This window comes from Homo sapiens, chromosome 17 (assembly GCF_000001405.40).
Source record: "Homo sapiens chromosome 17, GRCh38.p14 Primary Assembly".
NCBI lineage: Eukaryota > Metazoa > Chordata > Mammalia > Primates > Hominidae > Homo > Homo sapiens.
Window position 1 is genome coordinate 18,835,210 of NC_000017.11, and position 24,373 is coordinate 18,859,582.

General features: G+C 42.1%; 1 protein-coding gene and 2 pseudogenes across 20 annotated transcripts in view, besides 7 other annotated features; all 3 read left to right on the forward strand.

Moving 5' to 3' along the window:
* The first annotated feature begins 454 nt into the window (after positions 1-454).
* LOC101929141 (coiled-coil domain-containing protein 144A-like) lies at positions 455-7,159 on the forward strand (annotated as a pseudogene). Its single transcript, NR_164151.1, has 4 exons — positions 455-746; positions 2,823-2,896; positions 4,146-4,985; positions 7,019-7,159. The product of NR_164151.1 is annotated as a coiled-coil domain-containing protein 144A-like (transcript).
* On the forward strand, positions 5,413-5,711 carry RN7SL627P (RNA, 7SL, cytoplasmic 627, pseudogene; annotated as a pseudogene).
* Positions 14,938-14,997: an enhancer, noted in NCBI's record as "active region_11840". NCBI's record gives its function as "activates an Ori minimal core promoter by ATAC-STARR-seq in GM12878 lymphoblastoid cells {active_cell/tissue: GM12878}" and the evidence as "EXISTENCE:reporter gene assay evidence [ECO:0000049][PMID:35858748]".
* Positions 20,773-21,273: an enhancer, noted in NCBI's record as "H3K27ac hESC enhancer chr17:18759295-18759795 (GRCh37/hg19 assembly coordinates)". NCBI's record gives its function as "activates a minimal SCP1, AML or CMV promoter by ChIP-STARR-seq in naive H9 embryonic stem cells {active_cell/tissue: H9 hESC(naive)}" and the evidence as "EXISTENCE:reporter gene assay evidence [ECO:0000049][PMID:30033119]".
* Positions 20,792-20,841: an enhancer, noted in NCBI's record as "active region_11841". NCBI's record gives its function as "activates an Ori minimal core promoter by ATAC-STARR-seq in GM12878 lymphoblastoid cells {active_cell/tissue: GM12878}" and the evidence as "EXISTENCE:reporter gene assay evidence [ECO:0000049][PMID:35858748]".
* Positions 20,862-20,921: an enhancer, noted in NCBI's record as "active region_11842". NCBI's record gives its function as "activates an Ori minimal core promoter by ATAC-STARR-seq in GM12878 lymphoblastoid cells {active_cell/tissue: GM12878}" and the evidence as "EXISTENCE:reporter gene assay evidence [ECO:0000049][PMID:35858748]".
* The window catches only part of PRPSAP2 (phosphoribosyl pyrophosphate synthetase associated protein 2), a 74,989-nt gene continuing 71,705 nt past the window's right edge, over positions 21,090-24,373 (forward strand). For 5 of the 19 annotated variants that reach the window (NM_001353106.2, NM_001353101.2, NM_001353103.2 and 2 more), the window contains exon 1: positions 21,132-21,267. Coding sequence is in view for 2 of the 19 variants with exons in the window: in NM_001353098.2 (NP_001340027.1) it covers positions 21,161-21,220; positions 22,575-22,644 (130 nt within the window). In the remaining 17 variants the exon portion in view is untranslated. Of the gene's footprint in view, positions 21,268-22,574; positions 22,645-22,858; positions 23,053-24,130; positions 24,267-24,373 lie in introns of those variants that run through there. The other 14 variants (NM_001353097.2, NM_001353102.2, NM_001243936.2 and 11 more) reach the window with 8 other exon arrangements.
* Positions 22,701-23,273: an enhancer, noted in NCBI's record as "NANOG-H3K27ac-H3K4me1 hESC enhancer chr17:18761223-18761795 (GRCh37/hg19 assembly coordinates)". NCBI's record gives its function as "activates a minimal SCP1, AML or CMV promoter by ChIP-STARR-seq in primed H9 embryonic stem cells {active_cell/tissue: H9 hESC(primed)}" and the evidence as "EXISTENCE:reporter gene assay evidence [ECO:0000049][PMID:30033119]".
* Positions 22,701-23,379: a biological region, named in NCBI's record as "NANOG-H3K27ac-H3K4me1 hESC enhancer GRCh37_chr17:18761223-18761795".
* Positions 23,020-23,379: a silencer, noted in NCBI's record as "silent region_8280". NCBI's record gives its function as "represses an Ori minimal core promoter by ATAC-STARR-seq in GM12878 lymphoblastoid cells {active_cell/tissue: GM12878}" and the evidence as "EXISTENCE:reporter gene assay evidence [ECO:0000049][PMID:35858748]".

The window sequence follows — 24,373 nt, forward strand, 5'->3', positions numbered from 1 at the left end:
TTTATCCAAGTATTTGAAAGGAAATTCTGAAGATAGTGGTGCATTGAGGAAACACCATCTCATTATAATTAAAATAGTTTTAAAAGTATATTTATTATGAGTTTTTGTAAATCCTGTGTCTCTACAATACATACATACAATGCTGTCATGTATATTTAAGCTTAAAATGGTTAGACATAAATTATGTTTTAAAAAATTTATATCCACGAAGAATCTTAATGGAAAGCAAAATATGTAATAGAGACTGCTGAGTGAATAAAAGTAAGTAATAGTAACCAGTAAAAATGTAGAAAAGTGAGAGATGATAGTTAATTAAACTTACCTGAATGAATTGTAAGCATAGGGCATGTAAAATATAATAAGCCTGAATGCATAGTGTGTTGTGGGAGAGAGCAGGATGTGGGACTGTTTCTGTGAAGAAAGCATGTATACAAGTTAGTCAAATTATTGTGTTATTTACATCCTAAAAATGAAAACTTCATTTTCGTATTTTTCAGATTGGCATCCTACTAATTTGACCCTTAGTGATGAGACTTGTCAGAGATCCAAGAATCTGAAAGTTGATGATAAATGTCCATCTGTATCACCATCAATGCCTGAAAATCAGTCAGCAACCAAAGAACTGGGACAGATGAACTTAACAGAACGAGAAAAGATGGACACTGGAGTTGTACTTCTCTCAGGGAATGATACTCTCCATGACCTGTGCCAATCACAGCTACCAGAAAACAAAGAGAGCAAAGAAGGTAACAAAGAAGCATAGAGAATTCAGTCCTAGAGTGCCTCTGCTTGGCTGCATAGAGCTATAGTTCTGACTTAAAAAAACTTTTTCTGGTAAAATGTGCTTTGTGTTTACTCACCTTTTGCACTGAACAGAATACCTTTTGGCAGGATATTTGTGTTCTTCCTTTAACCAAAGCAACATCTAGATAACAGAGAATTAGGGAAAGCATGATTTTCTTTAGGAAGTAGGATTATATTTAGAATATAGGGACTAAGTATGTTTAGGGACTAACATAGGATTATATTTAGGATAATTTAGTAGAGACCTAAAGATTGCTGACTCAAACACAATGTGGTTTCTTTGCTTTATTTTTACAGCTCTGAATTCACAGCTGTTAGTTATAACTATATGCACTATAATTTAAAAGACACCTTCCCACACCTGTAATCTCAGCACTTTAGGAGGCCGAGGTGGGTGGATCACAAGGTCAGTAGTTCGAGACCAGCCTGGCCAATATGGTGAAACCCCATCTCTACTAAAAATACAAAAAAAACTAGCCGGGCGTGGTGGTGAATGCTTGTAGTCCCAGCTACTTAGGAGGCTGAAGCAGGAGAATCGCTGGAACCCAGAAGGTGGAGGTTGCAGTGAGCCGAGATTGCGCCACTGCACTCCAACCTGGGCAATAGAGGAAGACTCCGTCTCAAAAAACAAAAACAAAAACGAAAAAACACCTTCCAAAAGCAAATATTAAGTGACTTCCTATCGTTTCTATGACTTTATGTATTATAGAATTGACTTTCCAAGTCAGTAATTAATGAGACTTATTGAGAATTTGCTGCATAGTATCTCCTTGGCTGTGTCCACATGAGCTACCACCTTGCGTTAATAAATGTGTTCGCTAGGGATGTTGGTTTTGGCATTGACAGTGTTCTATCACCAATGCAAATAAGACCAGGGACCACTCTTGAGAACATTAATGTCCAAGCATCTTAAAGTTATACGTAAGGCTTTCATAATGTGACTTCTGCTCAGCTCTCCATCTTTAGCCCTTTCCCCCGTGTGCCCCTTCTCTGGCCTTACTGAACTGCTGGTCCTGTCCTGCTGACCCATCCTTCGACTGCAGGCAAACACATACACTCTTTCAGGCCTCTTTCTGCCTTTTGTTGCTGCCTGTCATGCTCTCACTCTTTCCTGTCCCCTACCCCTTCTAATTAGGCTAGCCTCACTCTTTAAGCCTCAGCTCGGGCAGGATCTCTAGAAAAGTCATCTCTGACATGCTTTCTTTTCACTCTTTAAATCCTAGTGCCTAGCACATAGCAAGACTCAATACATAATTGCTGAGTAAAATAGATAATGACTCTTTGTACAAAGATGATTTTCAAGATTGTTCCCTACAGTCAAGGAGCAGAGGGAATAGACATGTAAAGCAATAATTGACAGTTCGGGTGGTGGAGATGCAGTAGAAAAATCAGTAAAGTTCTAGGGCAGCCCTAAGGAAGGAGATACCTAGATACCTGTTTACCTGGGGAAAGATGAGGATGAGGGTCAACTTCACCTAGCAGTCTGTTTTTTATTTTATGTATTTTATTTATTTATTTTTAGCAGTCTGTTTTAAAAGATGAAAATATTAATACATTTGTCAGAATAATACAGGGAACCATTTCAGATGTTAGGAAGAGGTTGTACACCAATAAAGGTGTCCACAGTCATTTTGGAAGTCATTAATGAGGTACTATTATGAAGTGGAGAACAGTATGCAGTATTGCCTGATAATATTGCTACTGCATTCCAAAATTTTGTTTTGTTTGTGATGGCTTTGTTCATTGATGTTGGGTGGATGAATCTGTGAGTGAATCTTCAACATGATTGTATTTCTTTAACCTGGTGGCATCTAGTGTCTCCCAGAAAGTGGTTTGTTGAAGTTTTGGAGAATTAGAAGTATTTCTTAAAGAAGTAAGTATTCCACTAAAGATCAAGCTTCATTTAAACTCTCAATTTATGAAATAAAATGAAATGTAATTTAAAATCTATTTTTATAAAGACTATGTCTTTTATCTAACTGTTCTAAGTAGTTTAACTGAACGTTTGGATTTTGCAGCAGAACAAGACTTGGAGCTGACATCAGAGGAAGAGCAAGAAAGACTTAAAGGATGCGAAAATAAGCAGCCACAGGTGTGGAAACATTCAAACTAAAATCTAAATGTCTGGTTTAATACTCTTTTCTTTGCTTTAATATGCTAGCCCAAATGAAATTACCTCTCAGACTAGCCTTTGAGAATCAATAGATCCTTACTTAATATTTAATTTTAAATACATTTAAACTAGTTATAAAACACAATATTGTTAGAATCTATCATAACTTATAGTTAATCTTTACCCTTGGAGTAGAGGCAAACATTCCAGAATTTTGTTTGCTCTTCCATTCTTACAATATCCTTACGGGATAAAGAAGGTAATGTCAATTATTGACTTATATTATTAAGCAACAGAAATTATGAACAATTTAACAGTGATGGCCACTGAGTTGGATTCATGGTATAGGAGTAATCATGGCCAGTGGCTCAAATTTTTCAGTTTTATATTGCCAGTTACTAATGCCTAGGTTAAAGATGTGGCCTTTCATTGACTTCATGGTCTACATTCAGTGAGAATGGGGTTATGAAATCAACCCAACTGCCTATTAAGGGAATCATACCTTGCAGAATGGGATCTTTGGTGTTAGGGTACAAACAATAAATTTCTAACTTTTTAGATGCAGAAACTTAGTAAGAATTATCTTTAAAGTTTTAGTTAGTGTTATTAGGGGACCGTAGTATATATTAGAACTGAACTGAAGAAGATAGTCTAGATATATAACCCTATGATGTTACAGTATATAATTTGAATTAAAACTTAAGAATTTGCTTTTCTTTCTGATTGGTGTTGATTCGGGCTCCTAATAATTTGAAGATTGCCTACCCTCCAGTTAGTAATCTGTAGAACTTACATGTAGTAATATATAGTACTTACATGTAGTAATATGTAGTACTTACATGTACTGTAGGGGCTCACTTTCCAAGTGAGGAGGCCTTTGTAACACTAGAAATCATCTGCTAATTCATTTTTGGTAGATTTAACACATAATGAATTAAGTTTATTCCAAACAAACAGTGACAAAGTTAAGTTTGCTGGTTCATATTTTTCTCCTCCTTTCAGCTAAGACAATTGTTTTTAACTTCTTAGTTACAAGCCAGTGATTTGGGAGTAGCTAAACCTAGATGAAGAAGTTTAACAGTTAAATTTTCATTTTAATTATTTGTGAATTTTTCTTTGTTCATACCTGTTATTTAAGGACAAAGCTATTTTTAAAACATGTAGCCCAACAGAGAAGACACGCAAGAAACAAAACAAGCAAATTAATCTTCCACTTTTGCACCTGCAGAAAACGTCTCAAGAACCAGAAATGGCTAAGGATTGTGATAGAGAGGATATACCTATATATCCAGTACTTCCTCATGTGCAAAAATCTGAGGAAATGTGGATTGAACAAGGCAAATTAGAGTGGAAAAACCAATTAAAACTCGTCATAAATGAGTTAAAGCAGAGGTTTGGTGAAATTTATGAAAAATACAAAATTCCGGCTTGTCCTGAGGAAGAGCCACTACTTGATAACTCTACAAGAGGAACAGATGTGAAGGATATTCCCTTTAATTTGACAAATAACATACCTGGTTGTGAGGAAGAAGATGCATCTGAAATATCTGTCTCAGTGGTATTCGAGACATTTCCTGAACAAAAAGAACCCAGTCTCAAAAATATCATCCATCCATACTATCATCCGTACTCTGGGTCCCAGGAACATGTTTGCCAGTCATCTTCTAAGCTTCATTTACATGAAAATAAATTAGACTGCGACAATGATAACAAACTAGGCATTGGACATATTTTTAGTACAGATAACAACTTTCATAATGATGCAAGCACTAAGAAAGCAAGGAACCCAGAAGTGGTTACGGTTGAAATGAAAGAAGACCAAGAGTTTGATTTGCAAATGACAAAAAATATGAACCAAAATAGTGACAGTGGCAGTACAAATAACTATAAAAGCCTGAAACCTAAATTAGAAAATCTGAGTTCTTTACCACCAGATTCTGACAGAACATCAGAAGTATATCTACATGAAGAATTACAGCAAGACATGCAAAAGTTTAAGAATGAGGTCAACACATTAGAAGAAGAGTTCCTGGCTTTGAAGAAAGAAAATGTTCAACTTCATAAAGAGGTAGGGTTTTACTTGCTGCCACTCTTTGTTTTTTCTCTCAATTATCTGGTCCATTCTGATTTTCCACTTAGGAAAAGCATATGAAAAGCATACAGTTTGGTTGTCTAAATCTGTAATTGTGTGTAGAAACAGAGGATTTCTAAGTAATAGGAGTTTAGGAAAACTTTCTCATAATCGTTGTTTCTTAATTGACCTAAGTCTCTCTGTCAGTCTTCCAAGTGGCGTATGGATTGTGAAACTCATGTAGCCATATATCATGTGACCTTCAGAACCAGGAGAGGCATCAAGAAAATCGCTAAAGGAAATGTGATGAGCTTGAGGGCTTTTTCCTTTTACCGACTTAAAGATGAGTTGTGTCTAACAATAAGATGGGAATACAGTAGAAAGGAAGCAATGACTAAGTAGAGATATAAAAATGTATCTAGCAGGCGTGGTGGCAAACACCTGTAGTCTCAGCTACTAGGGAGCCTAAGGCAGGAGGATCGTTTGAGGCCAGGCATTCTGGGCCGTAGTGTGCTATGCCGATCAGGTGTTCACACTAAGTTCGGCATCAATATGGTGACCTCCTGGGAGCGGGGCACCACCAGATTTGCTAAGGAAGGGTGAACCAGCCCAGGTCGGAAATGGAGCAGGTCATAAGTAACTCCTGTGCTGATCAGTAGTGGGATCGTGCCTGTGAATAGCTGCTGCATTCCAGCCTGGGCAACATAGTGAGACCTCATCTCTTACTAAAAAAAAAAAAAAAAGAAAAGAAAAAAGAAGTATCCAGCCCTGAGAGCTGCAGCAAATATTCCTGGCCAATGAATCTGTTTATTGTGCTTTTCAGGTTTATCTGTTTAACTCAAACTGTTGGAACTTAGAATTGCATCATGACCACTTTAAATATTTTTCAACAAGTATATACACTTTAATATATTTGTTAATATAACTACTCTCCACTGTTTCTGTTGAATCAGACCTTTATGTTATGTTGCTTAATAAAGTACAGTAAGTTTTGGCATATATATTTTTTCCATGTAAGTAGCATAAATGCTCAGCCAAACACTTAGTATATGATGCCAAAGTAGAAAGCTGAGTCTTCTACATTGATTAGGGCAGGCCTCCCACCCTCCGCTAAGGCATTAAATTATTTTACCCAAGTCACACTTTTAACCTATCTGATTAATTTGCCGAATTTGTCTGATTCAGCATTATGGAATTGTACTGTCTCTTTTGGTGCCACAAAATGCTAGGTAATGGCACTTTAGGGGCTTTGGATCAATCATTTTAATCTTTTTTGGCTTTAGCCCAGTTATCAATAGAGAGTGAGCTAAAGTAGATTCTTATACTGTATATCCTCCAGCTATAAACTTTTATGGCTATTGAATGTGAAATTTGGGAAGCATCTCATTTCCAGAATTCCACCCTAGCTCAGCAGTTTCACTCTGCTTTTTGTGTTGTGGCAGACTTGTATTTCAGTAAGCACCTTCACCTTTTTGATATCCCAGGATTCAAATGAAAAAAAAAAAAAAGACAAAAGTTAGTGGGGGAAAAGAATAGCTTAGTGCAGAAAAGGGAAAGCTTCCTTTCTTTTCCTGAAACCCCACAGTGTTGTATCCTCTCAATCTGGCTGTTTAATATGAAAGTCAAGTGGCAAAGATAGAAGAAGACACGCTTTGTGTCTTTATCTTCTTGTTTCCATGTTTGTGCCAGTCAAATGAGGTAAAAATTCATAATACATAGTGAAGGGTGGTTGGGAATAAAAGCACAAAATTAAGAAGGGCCCTGGTTGAAATTTTGGAAAATTCTGTCTCATTCATTGAAACAGAAATGAAGCTGACTTTACAAAAATGTTGATGATAAAATTATAATAATTATAATTATATGATGATAGTTCCAGATGTGATAAAATTAAAGTAAGCACCAAATATTTTAATGACTAAAATTATAATTAAACTGAGTCAAGTGATGATGAAATCAATGCAAACAGAAAAAAGTTCTTTGTATTGAATAAAGCAATAAGAATCATCCTGAACATCAAACTCTCACTCAAGGTTGAAGAAGAAATGGAGAAGCACAGAAGTAATAGCACAGAATTATCAGGAACCCTAACTGATGGTACTACTGTTGGCAATGATGATGATGGACTAAATCAGCAGATTCCTAGGAAGGAAAATGAAGAGCATGACAGGTAAGCCTATAGCAGCGTTTAACAGGAGACAATTGGTCAAGCGTGGTGGCTCACGCCTGTAATCCAGCAATTTGGGAGGCCAAGGCGGGTGAATCACCTGAGGTCAGGAGTTCAAGACCAGCCTGACCAACATGGATAAACCCCATCTCTACTAAAAATACAAAATTAGCCAGGTGTAGTGGTGCATGCTTGTAATCCCAGTTACTCAGGAGGCTGAGGCAAGAGAATCGTTTGAACCTGGGAGGCGGGGTTGTGGTGAGCCGTGATCATGCCATTGCACTCGAGCCTGGGCAACAAGAGTAAAACTCCATTTCAAAAAAAAAAAAAAAAAGCAAAAACAGAAACAAAAACAAAAAACAGGAGACAATTATGTGCTATGAAATGAATCCTAATTTGGGCTAATATTCATGATGAACAGATTTTATACTTTTACTAGGATATTCAGCCTTCCTTGGTTATCAGAAAAATGCAAACTAACAATGAGACACCATGTTTTCCAATCATATTGATATTTTATTTAAAAAATAGGAAGTATTGGCAAATGTGAAGAAAAAGGCGTAAATTCATACACTTGTTAAATGAAATTGATGAATCCTTTTTGCAGGGTAATTTAGTAGCATGTATCAAAATTTCAAATATGTCACTTCTTTAACCTAACAACTTCACTTTTGGGACAAGATCCTACAGGAAAATATGACTTGTGTAAACACATACACATATGTGTTAAGGACATTTATTACATGTAGTATGTAACATACAATAGGCTAATAGGTTAAATATATATAATGTTAAGTATATATGATATATTTATGTCAAGGATATTTATATGTGTTACATATATATTTATGTATAAGGATATTTATTATAGCATTGTAATATAAAGAAGTTGGAGATAGTCTAAATCCTTAGCAATAAGGAAATAGTACAATTGTCATACCCAGAAAATAATGTAGCATGCACTCATTTTAATAAAAGAAGTTGTTAGACCAGGAGTGTACTGATTATTTCACAATTAAAGTCTATTTAAAGCCTTTAGTTTGATGACACATCTTAAGCCAGTTTTGTTGGAATTCTCGTAATATCTGCTGAGTTACAAAAGGAAGCTAGCTACATGCTACATTGACACTGTACCTTGTTAGCAACAGAATTCTAGTTATTAAATTTTTGTTTTTTGCTGTCCATGTGTGAGTGCTGAAATACCAGATCCTCAAATTAATCTGAATATTGCCAAGGGATTGCACATGGGGATTCATGTTCCGTGTCAGCTTTTCAATATACTGGGTAAAACTTACTAAAATACAACAGAGGATCTTAGCTCTACTGAACCAAGAATTGGACAGCTCTTTTTGTAAAGAGCCAGTTAGTAAACATTTTAGGCCTTGTGAATTACAAAGGGCATAAGTGTGGCTGCATTTTAAGGAACTTTCCTTATGAAAACAGGCAGTGGGCTGGATTTGCTCCACAAGCACCGATTTGTTTATCCTTGTGCTAAAACCAAGGTGCTGTTATGCAGTGAATCCTCTTTTTAAAGGTACCCTACATGCATGCCATTATCCTTTCTTTTAAAAGATAATGTATTTCAGTAGGAAACACACCATATTTTTCAACAGTAGCTTCATATAATTTAGACAAATTTGATTTACAAAATAAGATTATTTTCTGCCCTTGTCCCCTTTTATTCTTGTCATAGAATTCCATATTTTGACTATTACTTTGTATATTTGATGAGTATAAAATATTCTAGAGTTAGATGGTTTTTATCAAGCAAGAAATACTTCTCCTGAAACTTTTAGTCTTCTTTGGTCTTTATGTATAAGCATGAGCAAAATGATAATCAGCTTATATAATCTAGAAATGTTCAAGAGGTCTTTTGGTTTTATAAGTTAATGAATTTTTATTTAATACCTTCATCTGGCATTTCAAAAATGCCATATATATCATTTTAAAAAAACTTTTAAAGGGTAAAAATATAGTATATAGTTATATAAGAATTGAAAAATACAGCTAAACAAGAAGAAAATTAGATCGTCTACAGTCATGCCCCTAGGTATGCTGGCCTTGAAAGAATGGTTTATACTCATGGATTCAGATTTCTTGTCCATTCTCTCTTGAGCTGATACGAGTAATTTTCACTCCCACCACTCTTCCAAGATTGTTGTTCTCAAGTTTACCATTGATTTGTAAATCTAGACATTGTTTCTTAGACCTTATTTTATTTAACCTGTCAGCAATATTGGACCCAATGGAAAACTCTCTCCTCCATAACAGTGTCTTCACTTGGCTTTCAGGATCTCACTCACTCACCTGGCTTTTCTTCCTGCCTTTCCAGTCCATCTGTCATAGTCTGTTTTGCTTTCTTCTCATATCCCACCTTTTACACATTGATATGTCCCAGGACTGATATGTCCCAGGACTCAGTCCTCAATCTTCTTTCTCATGACTTTTACTACCTTGTGTGTGCTAATGATTTCCAAATGCGTGTCTCCAGCCTAGATCTCTCTCCTTAATTCCAGACTTCCATACCAACCTGCCTACTTGACATCTCTGTTTGATTGGTCACAAACTGTTGGGTATCACAAACTTACCAGGTCCAAGATTGGGGTACCGATATTCTTTCTCATACCTACCCCTCACATGGTCTTTCCTACTTGCATTAATGGCAACTCTTGCAGTTGCTCTGCTAGAAACTAAGGTGTCGTCATTGACTCCCCTCTCTCTCTGACACCTCACATCTAATCTGTCAGCAGATCTTGTCAGGAGTACCTGAAGAATATATCCAGAAGCCAGTCATATCTTCCATTTCCAAGCCACCACCATCTGCTCTCTAGATGCATGTAATAGACTGTTAATTGGTCTGTTTTTTTTTTTAAAGAAACCTCTTTTCATTAATCCTTAACTCAGTGGCCATACTTAAAACATAAGTCAGATGATGTCATTCTTCTGCTCAGATCCATCTGATTGCCTCCCATTTCACTCTGAGTATGTGTCAGGGTTCCTCCTCATACCTAGAAGGCAACACACAATATGCCCTGTTCTCTCTGTCACTTAAACTTCTGTTTCTTATTCCCTTTGCTGTGCTTCAGCTACACTAAACTTCTTGCTCTTCGTTATCTATCACAGTTGGAAGGCAACACACAATATGACCTGTTCTCTCTCTCACTTAAACTTCTGTTTCTTATTCCCTTTGCTGTGCTTCAGCTACACTAAACTTCTTGCTCTTCATTATCTATCACAGTTGCTTAAACACCCCAGGCACACCTCTGTACTGGGCAGTTCCCTGTGTTTGGGATGCCTTTTCCTCAGATAGCCTCCTGGCTTTCTTTTTCCATTCCTTCAGTTCTTTACTTAAAAGCCCCTTTCTCAATAAGGACTTTTCTGGCCATCCTAGAATTCCCACTATCCCTCCTCTCAAACCTGTAAACATTTCATTTTCCTGCTTTAGTTTTTCTCCTTTAACACTGTATATTTTGCCTAATCTATCTATGGTTATTGTGTTTATTTCACTCCCATGAGTAGGATGTTTGTGTGCCTAGAAAAGGGCCTAGCTTGCAATAAGTAGCTACTCAATAAATATTTATTAAATGAGCAACTGAAGTTTACCCTTCGGTGTATTGTTTTAAACATTAGATTGATTCTCAGGTAAAAAAAAAAAAAAAAAAAAAGAAAAAGAAAGGTTTCACATGGGTTCATTCTAACACTTTTGCCTGGAAATTATATGTGTTTTTGGATTTTTTGGCTCTTTGTAATAAGCTACATTCTTTGTATTAATAGTTTTCCATTTAGAGAGAAAAGCTCAATATTGTCGTTACTCACTATTTATTCTTTTACTAATAATCATGATAGTTTTACTTATGATAAAATGGATCAAAGGAATTACATAGTTCATTGGTAATTTATAAAGAAAATTAAAATATAAGGGTGGTAAATTTAATGGACTTAAAATTGTTTCCAATTGATTATGAACCTTCAGTATTTGAAGTTAAAAGACCAAGTTGGAATGTGTTGCTTTCTATAAGAGAGCTATGCTCATCAGGCACTCTGTATTCTGATAGAGCAGCTGTTGATCTTACATAGGGTTGCGGGAGGAGCGGACTTGAAGCATTGGCAGACTCTCAGCGGCATAAGAGGGTTAACATCATCTGGAGAAACATGGCTATCTGAGTGAGGCTGCTGTGGGTTGGTTAACACTCCCAGGCTTGTGGATTGGAGCGAGTTTGTGTTTAATTGGCTGTCTTTCCAAAGCAAGTGGCCCACATTGATATTGGTTGGTGAGAGAGGCCAATGGTCACTGATGATTGACTGTATTTACAACTGGCTGTGGGTGGTTGCTTGTTACAAATATAGCTACTAAGTTTGAGACAACTTTAAACTGCAGTTTTCTGTTTAAAAGTTGCCTTCCATCAACTATGTTTAAAATGAAAATGATTTCATATTCCAGAACTATAGACTTAATTTGGAAGTGTGGGTCAAGAGGAATTGTTTAATAATTGCTCTCAGGAAGATCTCTTTTTTTGATGCTTAGTCTTAACCAGAAGAATTCGCTACATAGTTAAAAAACAAACAAACAAACAAACAAACAAAAAGCAATTATTAATTTTGTTTCGGTTTTTAGTATTTTCAGAGACTTCTGCTAAACTCCTAATCTCCAGTGGGATATGTTTGTCTCTTTGTTAATGTATGTAGTTATATGATAGTGATATTCTTTTTTTTATTCCTTAATCTTTTTTTGTTCACTTTCTCTTCCATGCAATGATAGTGATATAATGTGTGTTTACTTCATAAAAAAGTAATTACAATTTTCTGCTGGCAAATCCAGCTTTTTATATTAAGACTAAGTACTAGACTAAATATGTGGGAAATTTACCAAATTATTTTATTTTCAAACAAACATATAACTAATCAGAATATTGCTATTTTTGAACAATATATAATGACTATACTGATATTTAGGAATTTTAACACTAAGATTTTTTTCTTCCCGAGACATTTCCTTGATTTCTTTCATGTAATATGTGCCTGTTATTTTTAAAACTTGGTTTAATCTGTTTAAACATTATTGTATTTAAAAACAAAACCCAAAACATAGCACAGATCTAAATATGAGTTTCATGTGTGAGAGTCATTGCCTGTGTGCAGTGGACTCCAGCTGTTTTTTTTTTTTTTTTTGAGACGCAGTCTCGCTCTGTCGCCCAGGCTGGAGTGCAGTGGCGCCATCTCAGCTCACTGCAAGCTCCGCCTCCTGGGTTCCCGCCATTCTCCTGCCTCAGCCTCCCGAGTAGCTGGGACTACAGGCACCCGCCACCGCACCCAGCTAATTTTTTGTATTTTTAGTAGAGACGGGGTTTCACCGTGGTCTCAATCTCCTGACCTCATGATCCGCCCGCCTCGGCCTCCCAAAGTGCTGGGATTACAGGCGTGAGCCACCACGCCCGGCCAGCTGTTTTTTTTTCTTTTCTTTTTTCTTTGTGACAGAGTCTCACTCTGTCACCAGGCTGGAGTGCAGTGGCAATCTCAGCTCACTGCAACCTCCAGCTCCTGGGTTCAAGCGATTCTTCTGCCTCAGCCTCCCGAATAGCTGGGACTACAGGTGCGCCACCATGCCCAGCTAATTTTTGTATTTTTAGTAGAGATGGGTTTCACCAAGTTGGCCAGGCTGGTCTTGAACTCCTGACCTCAGGTGATCCTCCCACCTTGGCCTCCCAAAGAGTTGGGATTACAGGCGTGAGCCACCGTGCCCGGCCTGTATTTTATTTTTATTTTTTTATTTTTGAGGACGGAGTTTCGCTCTTGTTGCCCAGGCTGGAGTGCAGTGGTACGATTTCAGCTCACTGCAACCTCCGCCTCCCGGCTTCAAGCAATTCTCCTGCCTCAGCCTCCCGAGTAGCTGGGATTACAGGTGCCCACGACCACACCTAGCTAATTTTTTGTATTTTTGGTAGAGACGAGGTTTCACCATGTTCGAGGCCAGGCTGGTCTCGAACTCCTGAACTCAGGTGATCCACCTGCCTCAGCCTCCCAAAGTGCTGGGATTACAGGTGTGAGCCACTGCACCCGGCCTGTAAGTAATTGTTATTTTGTTTTCTGTTATATGCAGCCATCTCCTGATATATGATCTGGGCCACCCTCTTAGATTCAAAGGCAGAATCAACAGGAATCTGATCTAACTGTTCTGAGCCCTGGAGCTTGGGCCCAGGCCTGTCTCCTCGGCTTCCTCCTGGATGGTGGGCTGCGAGGGCGGTTACAGCATTGTCCATCCATGTCCCCAGCTCTGAGTCCCTCACCTTCCAGACTCTCCTCAGCTGTCACCAACTGTTTGAGTTAGTTTCCCCAGGCCTCTCAGCTTCTACCTCTAAATGCCAGCAAAGGAGTGAAATCACACACCGGGAAAGCCTGTGGGAGGTGGAAGCTTCCCAGAGCAGGGCCTCAGTGGAGACAGGATTTCCGCAAGCAAAGAAGGGAACAACAGCACAGGCAGAGCTGCAGAGGTAGCGGAGGGGCTGGAGGGCAGCTGCACTGAGGGCAGGTGCCCAGAGGGAGTGGGAGGGAAGTCAAGACAGACAGTCCACAGGGACTGCAAGCAGGGCAGAAGACCTGTCCTTCAGGCCGGCAGATTTTAAAAAATAAACTTTAAGCCAGGTGCAGGGGCACATGTCTGTAGTCCTAACTACTTGGGAAGCTGAGGCAGCAGGATCACTGGAATCCAGGAGGCTGGGGCTGCAGTGAGCTATGATCACACCACTGTACTCCAGCCTGGGCGACAGAGTAAGACTCCGTCTCAAAAAAAAAAAAAAATTAAAAATGAGTTACTTATATCATCTGGATATATGTCCTTTGTCATCGGATATAGGTCCTTTGTCTTCAGATATATGTAGTGTGAATATTTTCTCCCAATCTGTGTCTTTCGATATAGGCAGTTAAAAAAAAATGAATGTATTTAATCCTTTCAAAGGCTCTACACTATTTTGGGAGAATGAGAGGGCTTCAATCTGTTACACACAGACTTAGAGTGATATGTCACAGAATTACATCTAGGTAAGAAGCAATGTGATGCTGGGCGTGGTGGCTCATGCCTGTAATCCCAGCATTTTGAGAGGCCGAAGTGGGCGGATCATCTGAGGTCGGGAGTTCAAGAGCAGCCTGACCAACATGGAGAAACTCTGTCTCTACTAAAAATATAAAATTAGCTGGGCGTGGTGGCGCATGCCTGTAATCTCCGCTATTCGGGAGGCTGAGGTAGGAGAAATAGCTTGAACCCGGGAGGTAGAGGTTCCGGTGAGCTAAGATTACGCCACTACACTCCAGCCTGGGTGACAGAGCGAGACTCTGTCTCAAAAAACAAAACAAAACAAAAAAAGAAGCGATGTGTTAGGTAAGAGGTAGGTGTGTTCCTTAAAAAAGTGGCATATCAACTAAATCTGGGTGAGTTAGGCCTCTGAGGGTGGCCGTTTGCAGGTCTGTAACATCTAAGGGGGAGAGATTTTTATTTATTTATTTATTTATTTTTTATTTATTTTTTTATTTTTTTTGAGACAAGGTCTGGCTCTGCCGCCCAGGCTGGAGTGCAGTGGTGCAATCTCAGCTCACTGCAAGCTCCACTTCTCAGGCTCAAGCCATCCTCCCGAGCCATCCTCCTGGGCACTACTGGTGATACTTGCTGAGTCACAGCAGCACTCCACCCGCCAGGACTTGTTTTTCATTTCCATAATTGGAAAGTGCAGAATCAGGGGCAGATGAGTAGCTGGAACTACAGGCGTGTGCCACCACGCCTGACTAATTTTTTGTATTTTTTGTAGAGATGGGGTTTCACCACGTTGCCCAGGCTAGTCTTGAACTCGTGAGCTCAAGAGATCTGCCTGACTCAGCCTCCCAAAGTGCTGGGATTACAGGCATGAGCCACCATGCCCAGCCATGTGTGAATATTGAGTCACACCTGTGTGAGAGACAGCTGGATGTGTGTGTGATGTATGAGTGTGTGTGATTTGTGAATGTATGTGTCATCCACATGGGGAACATTTGAGTGTGAGTGATGTCTTCATGTATGTGTGAGATACCTGTGTGTACATATGACATCAGAGTCCTTCACTGGACATTGCAAAGGACGCTGGTGGGGTAGGGCCTCTTTCTTACTGAGTTCACAGAATGAAGTGCCATAGGGGCCTCCAAGTGCTGGTGGCCCTGTTGGCATTACTGGGCAGAGCTTGCCTGAGAATAAAATCACCAAAGAAAGACAAAACCCTGGAGATAGTGGAGCACTGGATCTAGCCATACGAAGCTGTCCCCTGGGCTTTTTAGCTGTGGAAGTCAGCCTCACCCCTCCTCAGTTAGCCCCTTTCCCTTTACATTTAGCTGGTTCAAGCTGAGTTTTATTGCAAAAGTCCTGACTAATACAAATACTTATGATAGAATGTGAATGGGGAAAGCCTTCCATTTACTAAGATTTCAAGCAAATGCAAGATTTGAATGCTTCAGAAGGAGGTACACCAGCCTTACCCCCTGGAGGCCCCAGGAAGCAAAGCCACCAAGGCAGGCCTCAGCACCACCAGGCCCCAGTCCTTAGGCCTCCCTAGGAGGTGCTTCCAGTGAAGGGGGAAGGAAAAACTGCTTGCAGGACAGTGGCATAGGGGCTCTCCAGCTGGGGCAGGGCAGTGTAGGTAGGGGAGGAGATCAGTGGGCCCGAAGTTTGGCTTAGGGTGCTCCTCCCTCCAGCTTAAGGGAGGGATTTAGAGAGGCTGAGCCAGAGATACAAGGTTTGGAGAGTGTTTGTTATGATTCGGGCTAGAGGCCTTGGCGATGCCTGTCTTTGGCAGGGAGAGACCCGATAAAGTTGAGTTGGGGGGTAATTTACCGGGGGATCATCAGTCCCTGATTCTGCACTTTCCAATTATGGAAATGAAAAAAAAGTCCTGGTGGGTGGGGTGCTGCTGTGAGCCAGCACAGTGTCACCAGTAGTGCCCAGGAGAAAGCTGTTGAGAGTAGGGTGTGGGCAAAGGGCTCAAAGCCCAGATCTTGGCTAGGTGCTGCCACCAGGAGGAGGAGGCTGCCACGGGGGCCTGTGTGTGGGCCGTGCCAACCTTGCTGTGGCTTTGGTTTATTGACATTACCATAAATATGTTATTCTACTCCATCCACCTCAATAGTGACATGAAGTAGGTGGCATTAGCCCATTTACAGATGAGGAAACTAACAGAGAGAAATGACTTCTAAGGTTGTACAGCTAAAATGGTAATGCTAATGCTAATATATATATATATTTTTAGACGGAGTCTCGCTCTGTTGCCCAGGCTGGAGTGGCAGGATCTCAGCTTAGCTCACTGCAGCCTCTGCCTCCCTGGTTCCAGTGATTCTCCTGCCTCGGCCTCCTGGGTAGCTGAGATTATAGGCATGCACCACCACGCCCGCCTAATTTTTGTATTTTTAGTAGAAACAGGGTTTCACCATGTTGGCCAGGGTGGTCTTGAACTCCTGACCTCAGGTGATCTGCCTGCCTCAGCCTCCCAAAATGCTAGGATTATAGGCGTAAGCCACTGTGCCGGGTCTACAAAACTCCTTCTGTTTTTTTTTTTTTCTTTTTCAGACCAAGTTTCACTCTTGTTGCCCAGGCTGGAGTGCAATGGCGTGATCTTGGCTCACCACAACCTCCGCCTCCCGGGTTCAAGCAATTCTCCTGCCTCAGCCTCCTGAGTAGCTGGGATTACAGGCATGTGCCACCACGACCGGCTAATTCTGTATTTTTAGTAGAGACGAGGTTTCTCCATGTTGGTCAGGCTGGTCTCGAACTCCTGACCTGAGGTGATCCACCCTCCTCGGCCTCCCAAACTGCTGGGATTACAGGCATGAGCCACCGTGCCCGGCCCAAAACTCCTTATATATCCAGAGAGCATATATATTATAAATATTTAACCTACCTAGTATAGCTTATTGGATACTAAAGCAGGACTTTGTTAAACTCTTAGCATGCAGTGGATCATCTACTATGGTCACTGTATGAGGTGGGTGCTTTGCCATTCCCAGCTGTAGCCCCAACCCTCAGCACTGGGCCTGGCATGAGTTAAGTACTTTATTGATATTTGTTGAGTAAATGAATGGAGGTAAAAGTCAGCTAGCAAGGCAGCCAGGGTAGCTACAGGCAGCCTGATTTGGACAAGTAATTTTATTTTATTTTTAATTTATTTATTTATTTTGAATCTCTGAAAGAGTTTCACTTTTGTCGCCCAGGCTGGAGTGCAATGGTGTGATCTTGGCTCACTGCAACCTCTGCCTCTTGGGTTCAAGCGATTCTCCTGCCTCAGCCTCCTCAGTAGCTGGGATTACAGGTGCCTGCCACAACGCCTGGCTAATTTTCTTGTATTTTTAGTAGAGATGGGGTTTCCCCATGTCAGCCAGGCTGGTCTTGAACTCCTGACCCCAGGTGATCTGCCTGCCTCGGCCTCCCAAAGTGCTGGGATTACAGGTGTGAGCCACCACACCTGGCCCGTGGACAAGTAATTTTAAAAGCCCAGAAAACATTGACTATTCACTTGGACAAGCTAAAAATAATGGATGGTGCCTGGTGTTGGTGAAGATGAAGAGACATGGATGCTCTTCCACCTTCCTGGTGAGACTGTAAATTGGTACAAAATTTCAGGGAACAAAATTTTAAAAGGGCATATCCTTTGACCAAACAAGCTTACCTCTAGAAATTTAACGTGAGGAAATACTTGGGCAAAGGTAGAAAGACAGGTTATGTATTAATAGTAAAAAGTGCCCAGAATGAGGGATTAGTTAAGAGAAAATAATGGTTCATCCATATCACAATAGCTCATAATCGCTGCGGTTAATAGAAAGTGGTAGTCAACTGTGTGCCAGATAACTCAAGTGGTCATCAAGATTCCCCTATGACATAGATGCTGTTATTATTCCTATTTTGTAGATGAGGAAACAGGTATAGAGAGGTTAAGAAACTTGTTGAGGTCACACAGCTGGTGAGGAGAGAAGGAATTTGGATCTAGGCGCTGGTTCCCAAGACTACAGTCTTTCATTCACAGCTCATATCATGATGATGTCGACCTGAATTCATCAACATGGAATCATGCCTGCAATAAATTGTTACAGGGAAAAGGCATATTGGAAAATTCCAAGAGTGGCTACCTCTCCACATGGGATAATGGCAAATATCTTTTTAATTTTTTCTTCTTTCTCATTTGAATTTTTCTTACAATGTGTAAATATTATTATGCTTACAAAAGACAATGAAGTTCTTAGTCCCAGCTGCTGGGGAGCTGAGGCAGGAGAACCGCTTGAACCCAGGAGGCAGAGGTTGCAGTGATCCAAGATCGCGCCACGGCACTCAAGCCTGGATGACAGAGTGAGACTCAGCCTCGGGAAAAAAAAAAAAGACAATGAAGTTCCTTTCATTTTGGGGGAAAATAGAAAAAGGAGAAAAGAGGACGGGCACAGTGGCTCATGCCTGTATTCCCAGCACTCTGGGAGGCCGAGATGGGTGGATCACTTGAGGTCAGGAGTTCGAGACCAGCCTGGCCAACATGGCAAAACTCCATCTCTAGTAAAATTACAAAAATTAGCCGGGTGTGGTGGCATGCACCTGTAGTCCTAGCTACTTGGGAGGCTGAGGCAGGAGAATAGCTTGAACCCGGGAGGGTGGAGGTTGCAGTGAGTCAAGATTGCGCCACTGTACTCCAGTCTGGACAACAGAGCAAGGCTCCATCTCAAAAAAAGAAAAAAGAAAAGAAAAAGGAAAAAAGCTGGAGGATGCAGGAAAGGACTCTATAGGAACTTCCAAGGCCTCCTTGGCTGGTGACCTGGCTTTGGCCTCCGCTGCCTCCTACAGCCAGGCAAGCTGCCATCCTCTTCCACTGGGGAAAAAGGGGTGCCTTGTTTTTCTTCCCTGATAGCCAGACAGGCGAGAGCAGAGAGGCAGCTGCAAAAGCTTCCTCGGTGCCTCATACTCATGGACTCCATCTAAAAGTAACTCCTCACCCCCAACCATCATATGGCTGCTAATATTAGTGCTCATTTTTCCACTGAGGAAACAGAAACTTAGAGAGGTGGATCTGTCCAGGGTCATTTCCACAATGAGGACAGGAGGCAGGAAGCAGGCTCCATCCTAGTGATGGACACCTAAGTCCCTGTTTTTTCATTTGCACAACCATTTGAAGGAGAATCCTGTGTTTTTTGTTACACCATACTGCTCAAAAATTTCTATCAAACTATAGCAAAGATTCCTTTCCTTCCTTTAAAAAATGTTGAAGGGAAATGTCTTAGACTTGAGTATCTTGATTTATAGTCGATATACAGCAGTTTAGCCCTTGAATATGGCCAATGACGTGTTGCAGCAAGCTGAGCACTTCTATTACATGCAAAGACTCTGACTGCAAACATCCAAGTGGGCAAGGGATTATCAAGTTTAGCAATGGACTAACCAAAAACTGCATTCGTGTGGAACTGACCACAAGCTTTACATTATGCTTTTGCTCCTTTCTTGCTCATTACCCATTGTATAACAAAATATGCCCAGACTTGGGCTTTAATAAAAAATTTCTTAGCTCTCAATTTTTTGTGGTTTGATTGGTCTTAGCTAGGTGGCTCTTGCTTAGGGTCTTTCATAAAGTTGCAGTCAGGTGGTGGCTGGGGCTGCAGTCACCTGGTGGGTCAGCTTGGCTGAACACCTACCATGGCACACTCCTATGGCCTAAACCCCAAGGATAAAGAGAATGAGAGTTTTGACATCAGCCTACAAGGGATTTCAATAGTCCTTGGAGAATGGATGGCGGATGGAAGAGTGGTATTGCTATAACAGAACAAATGAAACTACAAACTAAGTGCCTGCAGTGCGGGAAACTATTGAGGAGCAAGCCACCCCACTGCAGAACCCTGGACGCGGTGATACACTGGAGCTAGCTCATTCTGGTTAATGAGAGTGGATTTTTTAAAAAATTCAAGGCCAGGTGTGGTGGCTCATGACTGCAATCCCAGCGTTTTGGAGGTCGAGGCGGGAGGATCACTTGAGCCCAGTTCGAGGCGGCAGTGAGCTATGATTGCACCACTGCACTCCAGCCTGGGCAACAGAGCAAGACTCTGTCTCTTAGAAAAGTTTTTTTTTTTCCAGTAATATTATTCTTGTATGGTGCAAACACTATATAATGCTGCGCTACTGCCCATTTTCTTTCCAGAAAGGATAAGGCACTCAATTTTCCAGACATTTCTTGAGTACCATACTTGTGCCAGGCCCTGGGAAACAGTGATCAGCAGGAGGGACGAAGAGCCCACCCTCATGGGGCTTACAGTGTACAGGGGCTGAGGTGGTGATATTTGTCAAATAACCACCCAAACACTTAATTAGAAATCGTGATAAGCCCAATGAAAGAAAAATACATGAAACAGTTTTATTTGGGAAGGGAGTGGTTTAGGGAAGACTCGAAAGTGACAATGGAGCTATCAAGTTCAAGAAGGAGTTAGTAGGGGAGGAGGCTGCAGGAAGAAGTGCACGCCTGGAGGCAGGAACAGCATGTGTCCCGGTAGTTCAGGGTGGCGGGCCCAGGCGGGTGAGAAAGGGCAATGGAGAAGGAAGGAGAGGAGACCGTGCAGACACTGCAAGTGCCAGAAACCCGATCCACACTGGCTTCAGAGGGTGGAGGGGAGGTTCTTCTTGGCTTCCATAATAGAAATGTCCAGGGACCTACCGACTTCAGATTCAGCGCAAACTCATCTGGGCCCGGTCTGTATCCCTCCCTCTCTTTTCTCTCAGCACTTTCCTCAGGCGGTTCCCCTCCTGGCATCCCAGCAGCTGCAGCATCAGCAGGAGAGAGTAAGCCTCTCCAGTCCCGGCGCAGGGATGGAGACGGTGTTTCGTGGGCTCCGATTGGCTCAGTAGCCTATCTTTGGAGCGAATCAGCGAGCGGAGAGGGATGAACTTCTCTGACTGGCCAGATCCAGTCACATGCCAACATGTGACGCGTGGAATCTACGCCAGCCACAGCAGAGAGGTGGGGGTTGTGACCGGAGTTAGATGCCAGCGCAGAAGGGACGTGAGCCCAGCCGAGGTACCGCTGAAGAGGAATCAATTTTGGTATGCAGATAATCACTGGGCTCATGGGTCTTGCTCTTTACAAAGAGGTATGTCCCTGTAAAGTTGTCAGGCAAAGGAAATGTTTCAAACGACTCCATTTCACGAAGTCTCACCTAATTTACAATTCGTTAGTTGAGATGCTTGTATTCTTCGTTTCTAAAATAAGACGTTGAACCATAAAGACTCTAGCTAGCTCTGCAACCTCTGATGAATATTTCATGCCTCATTATTGTGAAAAATCCAAAGCAGAATTGGAGAGAAGATGTGGTATAGGGATTAGGTAAGTGAAGACTGGTGCAAAGCCTCCTGGGTCGAAATTCTGTCCACTGCTTTGTCATTGGAAAAGTTATTTAACGTCGTCGTCTCAGTTCCCACAACTATTAAAATGGAGAGGATAACAACACCTACCTTATGCTCTTGTGAGGATTAAATAAGTTACCGTTAATATATGTAAAGCACTTAAAAGAGGACCATGTGTTTGCTATTATTATGTTATACATACAATAAAGAGTAAACATTACCTAAGTTATAAAGAACTTAGGCAATGGATACCAAAAGTACTAATTCCTTTATAATAAAAGAAAAAAAGGCGACAAGGCAAATAACGATAATAACTGATAATGGCTGGGCGCGATGGCTCACGCCTGTAACCCCAGGACTTTAGGAGGCGGAGGCGGGCGGATCACTTGAGGTCAGGAGTTTGAGAACAGCCTGGCCAACATGGTGAAACCCTGTCTCTACTAAAAATACAAAAAATTAGTCGGGCGTGGTGGCGCACACCTGTAATCCCAGCTACTCGGGAGGCTGAGACAGGAGAATCGCTTGAACCCGGGAGACGAAGTTTGCAGTGAGCTGAGATCGCGCCGATGCACTCTAGCCTGGACAACAGAGCGAAACTCCGTCTCAAAACAAAAAACTAACAAACGAACAAAAAACTGATCATTTATTATACACCCAGAACTGTGCTTTTAGCACAGTTTTGTTTTGTTTTGTTTTGTTTTTGAGATGGACTCTTGCTCTGTCACCCAGGCTGGAGAGCAGTGGCGCGATCTCGGCTCACTGCAACCTCTGCCTCCCGGGTTCAAGCGATTCTCCTGCCTCAGCCTCCTGAGTAGCTGGGATTACAGGCGCGCACCACCACGCCTGGCTAATTTTTTTTTTTTGTATTTTTAGTAGAGATGGGGGTTTCACCATGTTGGTCAGGCTGGTCTCGAACTCCTGACCTCGTGATCCGCCCGCCTCAGCCTCGCAAAGTGCTGGAATTACAGGCGTGAACCACCGCGTCTGGCCGTATTGTCTCATTTAATCCTCACAACAGTCTTATGGAATGGGTGCTGCTATCTTTGTTTTTCAGATGAGGAAACAAGCTCAGAGGGTTGAAATGACTTGTCCAAGGTTACAGGCCAGTGGAGGCTTGAACCCAGGTATTTGTAATTCCAAATGTCATACTCTGTCCACATTCATTCCTTGTAACCTGCCTGGGCTGTCACAGTTGGTGTGGGGCTAGCAGCTCCCCAGGGACCAAAACAGGCGCATCCCCGCCCACCGCCCCGCCCATCGTGCCAGCCCGACTCCACCCCTGTGGCTACACCCACTGCCCCGCGCCTTACCCACTGGTGGGCCACGCCCACAGCCCCCAGCTAGGTGCCTCCGCTGTCCGGGCTCTAGTCCCGCCCTCGCCCCTCCCCGCCCACCGGCCTCGCAGTCACCGCGGACGCCAATCTTGTGCATGGAGTCGCCATTTTGCTCCTAGAGAGGCCGCCAGGAGACCCGGCGCTTTCTTCCTTCTGCAGCTGAGGCTGCGGCGGGGCCGGGGCTGGGGTCGGGGCCAGGTAGGCGGGCGGGAGCCAGTGGCGAGCGGCAGCGAGGGCTGGCTGGCTCCGGCATTGCGGGGCGCAGGTGCAAGGGGCGGGGAGCCCGCGGCGCCGGCAGGCGGACGGGTCGGGGTCCCTGGGTGGTGGCTGCTTGGGGGCTCACTGGGGCGATCTCGCGCCCGCGGCCCTTCCATTTTTCCCTCCCTTCTTCCTCTCCCGCCAGGGGTCGGCGGGGGCGGGGGACGGGCGTCCGGTGCCTGGGCTCTCTCCTCTCCCTGAGGCGCCGCTGGGGAGTCGAACCCTGATGATGGGACCTGTGGTGAGCAGCCCTGAAAGCAAGCCCAGACCCAGCCATTCTCCGTCCCTAAGCTGACACGGAGCCCCTGATTTTAATTTACCTGGCTTTGCTAGTTACGAATATATCTCTCACCTCCTAAAGGATGATTTTATCCAACTCAGAACTCACCCCAGCAGAGATTGAGGGGGAACCGTGATGAAATTTTTAAGTATTCTGCTTGATGATAATAATTTTTCTCTTATGTTAATGTTGGCTCCGTTTGGGTGTTTAGCTTTTGAAAGGAGTATGAAAATGCGGAATGGGGCTTTGGGGCTTGAGGTGTGATCTCTAGTGTTTAAAAAATTTAATTGCACAAATAGAAATAATTCACCCACATTATTGAACCCCACTAAAGCATATCCTTTTTGTCCATATTCCTTTCCTGCTGCCCTCGTGTGTACCATTATTACTCAGTTGTGATTTGAGCTCGTTCCACTTAAAGTCATTCATAGATACTTTTGCGTCGTGTTGAATATTTATTGAATTTCTATTCTGTGTTTTACTTAATTACTTTATTATGGAACCTTTACACAGGTCTGGTGTACTTGTTCTTTGAAAAGTCTTATGTTGACCACCATCACTGAGCATATAGCTTTTTCCTTATTTCCTTGGGATAATTACCCGAAGTGGAAATACCGAATCAAACTTCTGTTTTCTTTCTTTGGCACTATTATATAAATTGTTTTCCAAACAAGGCATGTTTACAATAGACATTTTTCAAAATCTGGGTATTTGTCCTATTTTGCTCTCTGTATGCAGAATTCAGCGGGGTGCCAAGTCGTTTTCTGTGTGGGTTGAGAGACAGGCTGTGCAGCCCACTGTTGCATAGGACTAACTACTACAAATCATGCTGAGACCGAGCTATTTTTGCTGCTTAGAGGCTTTGCAGCCTTGAGTAAGTTTCTTCATCTGGAAACCTAGCTTCCCTGTCTAAAATGGGTCTCATTCTAGTGCTTGCTTCACTGGGTTGTCATAAGCATTGTGAACACTCAGATGTTAGGC